This window comes from Homo sapiens, chromosome X (assembly GCF_000001405.40).
Source record: "Homo sapiens chromosome X, GRCh38.p14 Primary Assembly".
Lineage (NCBI taxonomy): Eukaryota > Metazoa > Chordata > Mammalia > Primates > Hominidae > Homo > Homo sapiens.
The window spans coordinates 38,391,103-38,404,682 of NC_000023.11; the positions used below are offsets into that span (position 1 = coordinate 38,391,103).

Consider the following 13,580-nt stretch of genomic DNA (forward strand, 5'->3'; position numbering starts at 1 on the left):
TGCATAAATCATCCCATCATTCTCAGCAAACTATTGCAAGGACAAAAAACCAAACACCGCATGTTCTCATTCATAGGTGGGAATTGAACAATGAGAACACATGGACACAGGAAGGGGAACATCACACACCAGAGCCTGTTGTGGGGTGGGGGAAGGGGGGAGGGATAGTATTAGGAGATATACCTAATGTTAAATGACGAGTTGATGGGTGCAGCACACCAACATGGCACATGTATACATATGTAACTAACCTGCATGTTGTGCACATGTACCCTAAAACTTAAACTATAAAAAAAGTACCCAGTACTAAGGCACTCTTTATATACTCAGCTATTTTGTCTGATATCTATGTAGTCTGACTGTTCTCATCAAAAGTTTATACAATCTGACTGAGAATTATCTTTGAAATTGAGTTAGAATTGGTCTTGCTATGATTCTTCTCATTGTTCTCCCATTTTATTAGTATCTTTATAAACTCATTGGATGCTAATACATTTGAAGGTTTCAATTTATTATAATTATTATTCTTATTAATTATCAAATTGTCCCATATTTGGTCAATGTCATCTTTGTTCAAGTTGGGTCATTTTGACCTAACTCCATCAGTCTTCGATAACTCTCTTGCTTTGTGGTGTGACAAGATGTTCCAGGCTCATCTTGTACATTTCTTTATTAAGACCAAGAATTAGCCATTGCTCTAAGAAGACTTGGGGCATTTTCAATTACTTTCAAAGTCACACTTGGGAGAAATTTCCTTTCTTGAATGATATTTTGTCTGATTATTAAAATAATATTCCTTTTGATAGAATATACTAAAGAAGATTAAAAAAATAGAGCCACTGATACCACCATCATCCAGAAATAATGGATGTTAACATTTTATCTCTGGAACCATCTTTCCACTTAAAGTTTCATGCCGTGCCTTTCCTTTTTCTAAACAGTAGGAAAAGAGATGATGAATGAAACTAGACATTTTAAATATTTAGACAAAATAGGTTGAACACATGTTTTAACTTGTTAATCATTTTTGAAAAATCCTAATATTGGCCATTAAACTTCCAGGGCAAGCTGGTATATGTGGGAAACTTTAAATTTGAGTAATTTGGATTTTGCAAAAGTCTTTTTGCTACCATTGTTGGCTAATGCCAAAGATTGTCTGCAGAGCTGTAAGAATGCACTGGAAGGCAAACAGTACTGTATATATTAATAGAAATGAAAAGAGGGTAAAATGAAAAGTCATTATAGAACCAGAGAGTATTTTTTTAACTTATCAACTTTTCATGTGTAGCATGTATAATAAAGCTCTTACAATGTTTAAAGCTGGGGTTTTAGATTGATGGAGAGCTCTATAAATCCCAGATTACTATTAATGTGCTTGTAGTCCAGCTCTAGTTACAGGGTTGTCATTGTTTCCAGTGAAAAGGTTTGTTTTTATTTTTTAAAGATCTTTAGTAGCCTGGAAGAATTAAAATGGTGATTTCTAGCAATTTTAAGCATGAAGTAGATACCAATGTCATTCACAAAATAATATGAACTAATTGTCTAGTTAAGTGTCTTTAATATCTTTGTTCCCCTAAGTGAGTCCAACATGAAAGCAACCTAGGAGCTGCTCCCTCTCCACCCCCATATCATTGGATTCCACCTTACTCGAAGCTCCTGTGGCTGAAAGAGGACTAAAGTGGCATTTTCTGCCAGGCTTTGTCACGCTCCCTTTTGCCCACAGGTGCTTTAACCTCCAAGGGGCTTTTTGTGCCTACAGGGATATTCCGCACTCTTTGTCCTTTGTTTACAGTCCAATTTCATAACCTTATGAATTTGTCAAACATTTAGCATTTTTTAAACCTAAAATAATAAACGTTCCTCAAAGCACAGCTACCAAGTCAACGGCGTAAATAGCCCTTGGGAGCTTTTCAGAAATGCAAATTCTCAGGCCTCAACCCAGACCTCCTGAATCAGAAGCAGCTGGCTGTATTTTACCAAGTCCTCCTGGTAATTCTGATGCATATTCAAATTTTCATTGCTTTAAATATTCACACACTACTTATACAACCAATAAATCAAATGTATATTAAGTGAACAAAACGAATCTACTCAACCATTTACACATTGATTGCAAACTTAATGAAATGCTTTTAAACATTTAACTTAATCACAAGCCTAACATTTCAGATTTCCCTGCATTAAACATCTTACAAAGGAAAAAATACACGTAAAATACCACGTTGTTTACATAGCCGATTATTATTTTGACAACAAAACTGGGCACAAAGCTATTAATATCATAGATTTAATTTTGTTTTTTTATTCTTAAATCTCCTTTTATTTTTACTTTTGTATGGTCCTGGAATTTAAACTTCTGTACATTGCTGGATTGTTGGGAATTCTACAAGAGACTCTTTATACTTTCTCAGGGTTTATGTAATTTTTCCAGACTGGAAAGAACAAACATATCACCTCGGGAAGTCAGGGATACAGGTTAAGTGGATTACTGGCCACTTAATTTTGGTTGGTTAGTGGGAACGGGTTGCTAAATTCAAGGTGACTTAAACTCAAGTTGCTGGCCACTAGACAATAATTTTTTATCACATAGTTTTTGTTTTTTGTCATGGAATCTATATTGTTTTCTCATTGCTGCTTTAACAAATTACCACATACTTAGTGGCTTAAAACAATACAAATATATTATCTTACAGTTCTGGAGGGCAGAAGTCTAACATGAGTGTACAGGGCTGTGTTCCTTCTGGAGGCTCCAGAGGAGAATCCAATTCCTTGTCCATTCCAGCTTTCAAGGGCTGCCTGTATCCTTGGGCTTGAGGCCCCCTTTTTCCATCTTCAAACCTAGTGTCTTCATAGCTTCTCCTCTCATTTCTAACCTCCTGCCTCTCTCTTATTCTCTAGTGTTATATTGGGCCCACCCAGGGTAATCTCCCCATCTCAAGATCACTAACTTATGAATATGAATCTTCAAAATTCCTTTTGTCAAGTAAAGCAATACATTCATTGGTTCTGTGGGTTAGGACATGGACATCTTTGGGGACCATTATTTTGTCTACCACATGACACTTTTTGTCAATGTATTTCACATTTTTACTGTGCATACACATATACACAATGTATTTTTTAATTAGGCTTTACAATATATAATTTTATTGCCCGGTTTACAACTAAATATATTGTGAACATTTTCTTTTCTTTTATAACAGTTAAAATAATTGCATAGTTTGGAGAAAACATAATTTACTAAGCAATCTTGTTGGGGAAATTTAGGTATAATTTTTTTCCAAGGAGATTTCATTCTTTTACAATGCTGTTAGAAAAAAGGAGAGTCTGTCTTATATAACTTTCTATAGATGATGGAAACTTGCCCTTCAATTTAGCCTTTTAACTTGCTTCTCTACATCCACCTAATCATCAGTCAAGTAATTCATTTTCTTTTTTCGTGTCCATCTCTCCCATTTGCTTCCTCTTTTTTACCCCATCTCCCTGGCACACATGCAGACAGATTTCTATTACTACCCCAGCGCTTTCTGATCCTTCCCTCCATGGCCTCCCTTTAATGAGGCTTTCTTTCATTTTAAAGAGACCATTTTAATTGATTTTGATCAACTCTACTCAAAACTTTATCCTCAGTTTCGCATTAGGATTAGCCTTTAATAATCTGAAGATATAATTCAATTGTTTAAAAGACCGTGTTAATAAGACCTTGGTAGAGTTACATGTATCAAGAAACATAGGACTTGGGCACAATGTACATACGGCTGACTTTCTTTTGAAAAAGGAAAGTAGTTTCTGGGGGGGGGCAGGGCAGAGGTAAGAAGTAATTGGTACGTGAAGGAAGTGAGGAAGTGTTAGGGACCATTATGGAAATGTATTCTTTTTTTGTTTTTTGAGACGAAATCTCACTCTGTCACCCAGGCTAGAGTGTAGTGGCATGGTCTTGGCTCACTGCAATCTCCACCTCCCTGGTTCAAGTGATTCTCCTGCCTCGGCCTCCTGAGTAGCTGAGACTACAGTCGCATGCCACCACAACCGGCTAATTTTTGTATTTTTAGTAGAGACGGGGTTTCACTATGTTGGCCAGGCTGGTCTCGAACTCCTGACCTTGTGATCTGCCTGCCTCAGACTCCCAAAACTGTATTCATTATTTTAAGGCAACTAACAAATGATCTTCTTTCAGTTAGGACATTGGAGCAGCAGACTTTACTGGTCATGAAATTTGCATGATATCTAAAGTTGTTATTTCTGGAAATAGGTAAATGTCAGTTCATAGTAACTTTGTATGGAAAGGCATGTGCCAGCTAGCATAAAAGTGGTACATGCAGATGGTAGTTTTCCAGAGTCCTGGGAGCCATGAGGTGCTCAAACATCACAAGGCCATCACAACCAGGTAGAAATGCCTCAGGAAAGCAGAGGGGTTGGCCATGCCAGCATTTACACATAAAACGCTTCTTGGGCAGCCAGATGACATGGTGCACAGACCCACAGTTCTCTCTGCACACAACATGCTCACAGTTCCATCCATAGGAGGAAGGGAAGACACAAAAGCACCCCAGCGTGCAGGTTCCCCCATTTGGACAGCAGGTTCTGTTTTGTTCCTTACTGTCCTGTGTCCCCATGGATGGCACAAACTCTGAAATAAGGATGAATTGCAGGCTCCTCCTGGGGCTGAGTGCTGTCCCCTCTGAAAGCCAAGTCTTCCTGAGATAGACATGCAAGTTATGGTGGCCCAACCCAACCTGGCCAACTAATTCTAGTTCAAATGCTTTTGAAATGGCCATGATCAAAATTACACTCCGTCATTGTCCCCTGAACGTTTAGGCAGGCCAGAGGATGAGAGAGAGCAGCCGTATTTTTATCTTTTAAATTGATTCTGTTTTTTTTTTTTTGAGATGGAGTTTTGCTCTTGTTGCCCAAGCTGGAGTGCAATGCAGCCTCTGCCTCCCGGATTCAAGTGATTCTCCTGCCTCAGCCTCCTGAGTAGCTGGGATTATAGGCACATGCCACCACGCCCGGCTAATTTTTTTTTTTTTTGTATTTTTAGTAGAAATGGGGTTTCACCATGTTAGCCAAGCTGGTCTCGAACTCCTGACCTCAGGTGATCCGCCTGCCTCAGCTTCCCAAAGTGCTGGGATTACAGGCATGAGCCACTGCACCCTGCCATGGATTCTGATTTTTAAAGAAATTTAGAAGATTTAAGTTTTGTTTGTTTTTAATCTCTGGCAGCACATGACTCATTGCAATATTTAATAATATATTAACCTGGCCTGGTTTCAATATTTAAAAACATTCATCTTTCTTATTGGCATTGTGTTGTAATTAATTAGTTAAATCATCAAAAGTTTTCATTTCCAGAGAAACAGAAAAGTGAATCTTAAAATTTAGACTTCTTAGCCAAGTGCGGTGGCTCACGCCTGTAATCCCAGCACTTTGAGAGTCTGAGACGGGTGATCACCTGAGGTCAGGAGTTTGAAACCAGCCAGGCCAACATGGTGAAACCTCGTCTTTACTAATAACACAAAAATTAGCCGGGCGTAGTGGCGCATGCCTCTAATCCAAGCTACTTGGTAGACTGAGGCCGGATAATTGCTTGAACCTGGGAGGGAGAGGTTGCAGTGAGCCGAGATCATGCCACTGCACTCCAGCCTGGGCGACAGAGCGAGACTCCGTCTGAAAAAAAAAAAATTTAGACTACTTTTTATGGACATTTAACTAAGTTAGTATTTTGGAGTAAATGGTTATTATCGTTTTCCTCATTGGAAATTGCATATGCGACTGGTGCTAGCCAACCGCTGGACTCCTTTTCTAGTTCACTTATATATGAGACCACAAATGCTGCTGAGGCCTGTTTATTCATGGTACAGTTTCTACTATTTCTAGGACTGTTTGGCTTACAAATTATGTTAGTAATTTGTGGCTTATGCAGATAAAAACAATACATATCTATACTATATGAACAGAAATATACTTAACAAAAACCCACAAATATCTATCTATAGTTATATATAAACACTTTCCTACTTATGTAAGTAAATAAATTTACATGTACATAATATTCACTCTTCTTTGATATTACTATTATAATTTTGTACATTTTATTTACATTAACTTTTTTCTTATGTACATCATGTCCCTTTAGAAGCATAATTTATTTCATTTCATGATCTTTATTACTACAAATGATCACAACTTGAAAAATGGGAGCTCCTTTAAGCTGACTGTTTTTCTTTCAGCAGTGCCTCTGCCATTTAAAAAACAAATCACTCTTGTTTCCTGGCAAGAACAAAATGTTACAGACCTATTCTGATTTTATTCTGCCCAATAACGTGAAACTGACTATCCTCTAATGGTTTCTGGTTCTTTTTTTAAAAATAGAACAATATTAGAGACAAAAATCTGGTCACTAGGGATGTTTACAAGTGTCAAGTGGGGAAAGACTACAGCTACTGCTGCTGCCTTGGGACTTCTCTTGCTAGCGACTGAGCTTAAAGAAAATACGTCTTTTATAAGTGTGTAAAATCTTGTTCTTTCCAGTATAGCTTATCATATCGTTATCCCTTACTTTTCTTATTGTATGAGATTTCAGCAATTACTAAGAGTTTCTTCCTCTACATTGATCCACTGTGTCACCCAGTGGCACAGTAGCCCACTTTCCTCCCACCTCCTCTCTCACTCCGTTTTCTAGGACAATGGTTCTCAGCCTAGTCTTCATACTGGATTAGCTTGGGGAGCTTTAAAAATGTTGATATGGGTCTCACTATCATAGCTTCTGATTTAACCTTCCAAAAAGCAGAATATGGCATCAGGATTTTGTAAAAGCTCCATAGGTGATACTAATGTGCAGCCAAAGTAAAGAACCTCTGTTCTAGAAAAGTGTTGCAACCTGAATAAAGCCAACCAGGCATACTCCCATGAAATTACACCACAGAGGTTCCAGGGATACCAGCTTGACATTATAAACAGAAAAATTAAATGCATGCTTATCTTTTGACTGCTTTGCTTCAGGAGTTTTGGGGATGGGGACTTGCTAAAGAGAGAAAAACACACCTGCCTTTTTTTCAGTCTTCTTGAAAGACTCATGTGTACAGGTCGTTGACTTCTCCAATTGTTCTGCTAGCATTTCTGTCTTTCAGTCTCATCTTCCTCACTCCTTCCTAACCTTGCTCTAATTACTTCAAGGTTTTAAAAGGCCTTGATTTCTTCATCTTTGAGGTTAAGATAATGTCTGCATGTGACACACACTAAATCTAGCAAAATTCAACAACATACTGTAAAGTTCGAGAAAACCATAACAGGTTGGCAGCCTAAGGTCCTAGCTGCCTAAAATGATTTGAGAGGCTATAATAGAAGTCAAATCTGCTTTTCTGGCTATGAGATTCCAGAAGGTCAACTGCAGTGTTAATCCAGACTTTTTTTATTTGTCTGTACACACTTTAGGGAGTGCTACATGTTTAAAGAAGTCTGAAGTATGACCTCTAGGATTAAACACCCCTCTGCCCCCACCCTCTCCTTCTCTCTCTCTCTTTCTTGGGGTTTTAGACATCATAAAATTAACCAATTCATCTGATATAGGGAATTGATAGTTGATTATAATTATATACCTTATTGACATATCTACCTCCACTTAAGTTACTTTTCCATGACAGAAGCTTGCATTCTTATAGTATGAAAAACAGAATGTCTGTTTTAGTAAGAGGACAAAGGCCTAGGACCTACTCTATTTCTGTGTAATCTATTAGTATTAGTTCTTCACTTAGTTCCGATACACACCCAAGTCTGGGAACCATTGTCTTAGGGCATCAAATAAGTAAGGGTAGTTGCTTCTCTAACGAGAAGGGCCTTAACAGAAGGTGGTGAACTATTCTTTGCTCAGAGGAGTTTAGCTGCCTTTTTCCCTCAATTCCCTCCCTGCCAAGGATATTATAGACAGAGTCTTCTGTTTTTGTGGGCTGCCATCTCAGAAGCTTTGTCTAGTCTTGATATATTGCCTGGTTAGGATTTTAAGAAAATAATAGATGATGCTTTCAAAAATATGGCAGTCTCAATTCCCTCTTTCTTAGGAGTCTCAAACTTTAATATGCAAATGAATCACCTGGAAACCTTGTTAAAATGCAGATTCTGCTTCAGTAAATCTGGGTGGGGCCTGAAATTCTGAAGATCTAATATGCTCTCAGATGATGCTGATGTTGCTACTCTGAGGGGCAAGGTGCTAGCTTTGGTTCTCAACTTTGGCAGCACGTTACAATATAGTAAGAATATTTTTAAAAATAATGATCCCTAGGTCCCACTCCTAGAGATTTTGATTTTTCTGATTTAATTGATAGAGAATATGGCCTGGGCATCAAGAGTTTAAAAAACTCTCCAAGTTGCCAGGTGCGGTGGCTCACGCCTGTAATCCCAGCACTTTGGGGGGCCGAGGTGGGCGGATCACCTGAGGTCAGGAGTTTGAGACCAGCCTGGCCAACATGACAAAACCCTGTCTCTACTAAAAATACAAAAATTAGCTGGGTGTGGTGGCGAGCCTGTAATCCTAGCTACTTGGGAGGCTAAGGTGAGAGAATCGATTGTACCTGGGAGGAGGGGGTTGCAGTGAGTTGAGATCACGCCACTGCCCTCCAGCCAGGGAGACAGAGCAAGACTCCAACTCAAAAAAAACAAACAAACATTCTCCAAGTGACTTTCATGTGCAGCAAAATTTGAAAACCCCTTGTCTTAGTCCACCATCAAAAGTTAACCAATATCACATTTTTTTAAAAATGGCTCTTTTATTCACTTCTCATGCTATAAAATATAGCGCGCTTAGATAGTTCAAAGCAGTGGTTTACAAATCTCTATCCCCACTGACCCTGGTGTGGAGAAGCTTCCATCAGAAGTGGTAGAATAAGAAAAATAAGGATAAGAATTATATAGTAAATTTCATAAAGCTCAAATAATTCATTTCAAGGATTCTTCTTTGAAATTGTCTTTCACACCTTTTTGATGTTAAAATATCCTTTTTAAATTAAATTAAGGTAGTAACATTATACCTGTTTATTTGCTTTTCTCATGCTCTTAATTTGGTAAATAAAGAGTTGCAAATCTTATGTTGATCTCCACATATTTTTGGAAATCTTGCTGGTTCATGAAATTTGAAAATCTGGGAGCCATGGGCATGATAAATCCATTAAAAATTAGAAAAAATCTGATCTTTAAGTCTAGAAAAATATTGTTATAGGAATATAGTTTTTAATCTTTGATTCTCTAATCCCTGGGGCCAAGCAGTCCTTGAATTTTGTAAGCACCAGAGTTTATTGCTTTCTGTGTCAGTTCAGGTCCACTAAGCAGATTTCAAGAAGGAATTAGACTTGCAAGAGATTTATTGAGGGAACCACCAAGAAACATAAAGAGAGAGGCAGCAGGAGTGGGCAAGAGGGCCTTCAGACAGGGAGGCAGGTCTGACCCCTGTGGGAAAGAAGGATGCGTGGGTAGGGAGAGAGCCTCAGCCAGTAGCGCAGCTCTGAGAAAGTCTCAGCCAGGCTGGTGGGGAGCCCCAGAGCACAGACTGTCTATCAGAGAGGTCCCTGTCACGCAGGAATGGCCCAGCGCTATTCTCCCCACTGTGTTCTGTCATCAGGTTGGAACAGCCTGGGGAGGGTGGCCTTGGCAGGAATGCTGCAGGGCATCCGAAGGTGTAGCAGCTAGAGTGTCAGCCAATGGCTCTCCTCACAGCAAGTTCTCTTCTGTAGGGCGATCTGTGTGTGCACTTCCATGGCTGCCACACTGGGACTTGCAATTCCACAGTGAAAATGTATCTTTTTTCTGTTGGATGATGTGAAAGAAAATTAGCCATATGGCAGGTCATTAATGTTTCTCCGTATATCTTGCTTTTGGTCTTGTCCCTTTTAACCAATGGCCATTTATTAATTATAACTCATCATTATGTCTGCTGGGCCCACAATTATCTCCATAAAAAATGTAAAATCGCTGGTCACTGGATAAGTCGTGGGAGGTAGAACATCTGGCTTATGTAATGAATACATGTTTAATATTACCTTTTAAACCTGTAATGTTGGTAGGTTTTCATGTAGTAAAAATTCTATTTATTAGTATTTCTTGTTATTATTTCTGATCTTATATTAAATAAGGCATTATTAAGCATAATTATCTTAGATTATCTTTTTCTTGGTTTGCCACAGTGTATTGTCTAGCATGGCAGATGCAGTATTGGCTCGAGTGTATAAACAATCAGATTTGGACACCCTGGCTAAAGAAGCATCCATCCCAATTATCAATGGGCTGTCAGATTTGTACCATCCTATCCAGATCCTGGCTGATTACCTCACGCTCCAGGTTGGTTTATTTATTTGTCTTACAAAAGAGCAAAATCAAATAATTCCTGACTTGCTTTAAGTGAAACAGTTTACTTAAATCATGGTATTGGTGTTTTATTTTCAAATACCAGCTTGACAAAGAATTACAGCTTGTGTGTGCATTTTCTGGGGAAAACAGGACATTGTTAAAAACAGACTCTAAGATCGCTCTGCACTCAACCCTATTCCCAAACCCTTTTAGCCCATATCTCATCTTATGTTCTGTCAATCCCTTTGATTTTTCGGTGCCATATTTAACACAATGAATGAATAGAGAACACTGGAGCATACAAAATGGACAAGCCATATGTGATTCTATAGACATCAGGTCTGTGGCTTGGGAGTGAAGACTGGTGGAGTGTGCTTTGAATATTCAAAAAGGTTAGTTACTAAGTCACTCTGGAAGAGGGGGACACTTTCTATCATTTTAATAAACTGGTTATTTAAAGTAGGGTTAAGAATATGCAGAATTTATAGAATTGGGGCTCAAATTTAGCCATTCTAGTCCTCCCAAATTAGGAACTTGAATAACTTTGAAAGATTCCTCTTGTTTGGTTTGCCACAGCCAATCTACATTATATTGCCCCTGGAAATCCTAACAGCCATGGTTTCTATGTCTATGGATAACTCTGAGGAGACAAGATAAACTGGATAGGCCCATCTTCTTCCACATTTGAATAAACTACACACATTTAAATGTGAGGTTAAGCTCAAAATAAAACACTTTGGACATGAGGATGAGATCCATGCAGAGAAGATGATATAATTATGTCAGATACCAAAGTGGCTGTCTGTGGGTGTGGCTTTACATATACACCAGATAATTTAATGCTTCCCCCTGGGGCTTTATCATTACTAGATTATAAATTCATTGAGGGAAAATGAGCTGTCCTATTCATCATAATGTCCCCTGCAGGACCTTGTGCAATGCCTTCATATAGGAGACACTTAAAGTAGGAGCTGAATGAATAAATAGCAGCTTGTTAAGAGCATGGAATCTAAATCAGATGGATCTGGAATTAAATTCTAGCTTAGCCAACTAGTAGTTCTGTGATCTCCAAATTGCTTAGCCTTTCTCTTTTTTAATCTTTTTAAATATATAAAATATATGAAACCTACAGACACTTCAAGAAAATAAAACAAACATTCATGTGTTCACACAGTTTTGTCAATTCTTAACATGATGTTGATACTTTATAATTCTTTGCTGTTTTTCAATAAAACATTAAAGATAGAGTTGAAGCCCACCATGTAACTCTGCCTAATCTTATTTTCTTCCTTTCCACAAATATGTTATTATCCTGATGTTAGTATCTTTACACATATCTATAGCCATAAACAACCAACAGTATTATTATTATTATTTTTGTTATTATTATTATTTGAGACAGAGTCTCACTCTGTCACCCAGACTGGAGTGCAGTGGCATGATCTCAACTCACTGCAACCTCCGCCTCCCGGGTTCAAGCGATTCTTGTGCCTCAGCCTCCGGAGTAGCTGGGATTACAAGTGTGTGCCACGCCTGGCTAATTTTTGTGTTTTTAGTAGACATGGGGTTTCATCATGTTGACCAGGCTGGTCTCGAACTTCTGACCTCAGGTGATCCGCCCACCTTGGTCTCCCAAAGTGCTGGGATTACAGGAATGAGCCACTGCACCTGGCCAACTAACAGTATTATTGAGCATCTTTGTCAACTTCGTATAATGGGAACATGCTCTGAGCCACTATGCTACACTGTTCCAGGTATTCTGTATTTCCCCTTTCTCATACCAAAGAATTTCAGCTCCATAAAAGCAGTGATTTTTGTCTCCTTTGTTTATTGTATCTCCAGGGCCAAGGACAGTGTCTCAGTGTCTGGATGTTAATGGTGCTCATTTGTATCCAATGAGTGAATACAACTAAGACTCAGATTTGAAATGTATGAAACTCTTAGTCTCTGTTCAAGTTCATATGGTGTCTTGGTTTAAGATATTAAGACATTTTACCACGTTTTTGGGATTGTACATTCATATTATTGAGTTGCTCTGTGTAATGCAAAAAAATTGGGAATTCATTCCTTCTAACAAGGCACTAATACTGAGATTAAGACTATTTATTTTAACCTTAGTAATTGCTACACATAAGCGAATTTACGCCTGGATTTCATCTCCTTCATCCCGTGCCTTTTAGGAACACTATAGCTCTCTGAAAGGTCTTACCCTCAGCTGGATCGGGGATGGGAACAATATCCTGCACTCCATCATGATGAGCGCAGCGAAATTCGGAATGCACCTTCAGGCAGCTACTCCAAAGGTAGGGAAACTTTTTGCCTTGAAACTAACCCCTCTCTTAAATCATCCTCAGATGCAATTACCCAGTGACAAAAAAAGCTCTCTTCCATTTAAGTATAGCACAGGTGAGGCCACAGAATTTAGGTTACGTTACCAGCCCTACTATTAAATAGCTATCTGGCCTCTTGAGAGTCCAATTTCCCATCTCTACAATAAGAGATAGTCTTGGCTGATGCCTTTTATTCTATGAGTTAGTGTTAAAAGCATGTCTGAATTATTCCTTTGAATACCCTGCTGTAGGCCATTATGATGACTGGCATTGTGCATTACCACCACAAAGGCTGAAGAAAGCAATAAAATCCAGGCAGCATAGAATTCTCAACCCATGGGAATGATACTGTCATTTTTCTAACACTGCAATTTGGTAGAAAAATGTGAATCCAATGTGAGGATCACAGTGATGGCATCTACACCAGCTTAGTATTTCAAAACTCAACTCTGGGGACCTTTTGGCTTAGAAAATTTGAGCCCCACATGGCTATGAAAATGACCCCTGCATACTTCCTACCTTGCTGCTCTCTCACAGCATGTATGGAATACATGACTTCTTTCATAGGCCCAATGTAAACCTTTTGATACACAAGAAACTGGTAATAATTGTTGCCTCTGAGGAGAGGAACTGGGAGGTTTGAGGATAGAGGTAGGAGGGACACTTTATTTTGACCATACAGTCATGTGTGGCTTCATAACAGGGATATGTTCTGAGAAATGGGTCCTTCGATGACTTTGTTGTTGTGGGAACATCATACCGTGTACTTACACAAACGTAGATGGTATATATTTTTATTTATATATATTCTTTCACATGGAAAAATAAATGTTCCAGCACCATTACTAAATATCAACCTTAGGCCAGGCACACCACCACAGGCACACCACCGTGGGGATTTGTGTACAGGTGATT

General features: G+C 38.7%; 1 protein-coding gene and 1 pseudogene across 3 annotated transcripts in view; one reads left to right on the plus strand and one right to left on the minus strand.

Moving 5' to 3' along the window:
* The window catches only part of OTC (ornithine transcarbamylase), a 95,245-nt gene that overhangs the window by 63,419 nt on the left and 18,246 nt on the right, over positions 1-13,580 (plus strand). For all 3 annotated transcript variants that reach the window (NM_001407092.1, NM_000531.6, XM_017029556.2), the window contains 2 exons: positions 10,173-10,326; positions 12,516-12,638. In NM_001407092.1, coding sequence (NP_001394021.1) covers positions 10,173-10,326; positions 12,516-12,638 — 277 coding nt within the window. The remainder of the gene's footprint in view (positions 1-10,172; positions 10,327-12,515; positions 12,639-13,580) is intronic.
* CRIPTOP1 (CRIPTO pseudogene 1) lies at positions 4,131-4,839 on the minus strand (annotated as a pseudogene).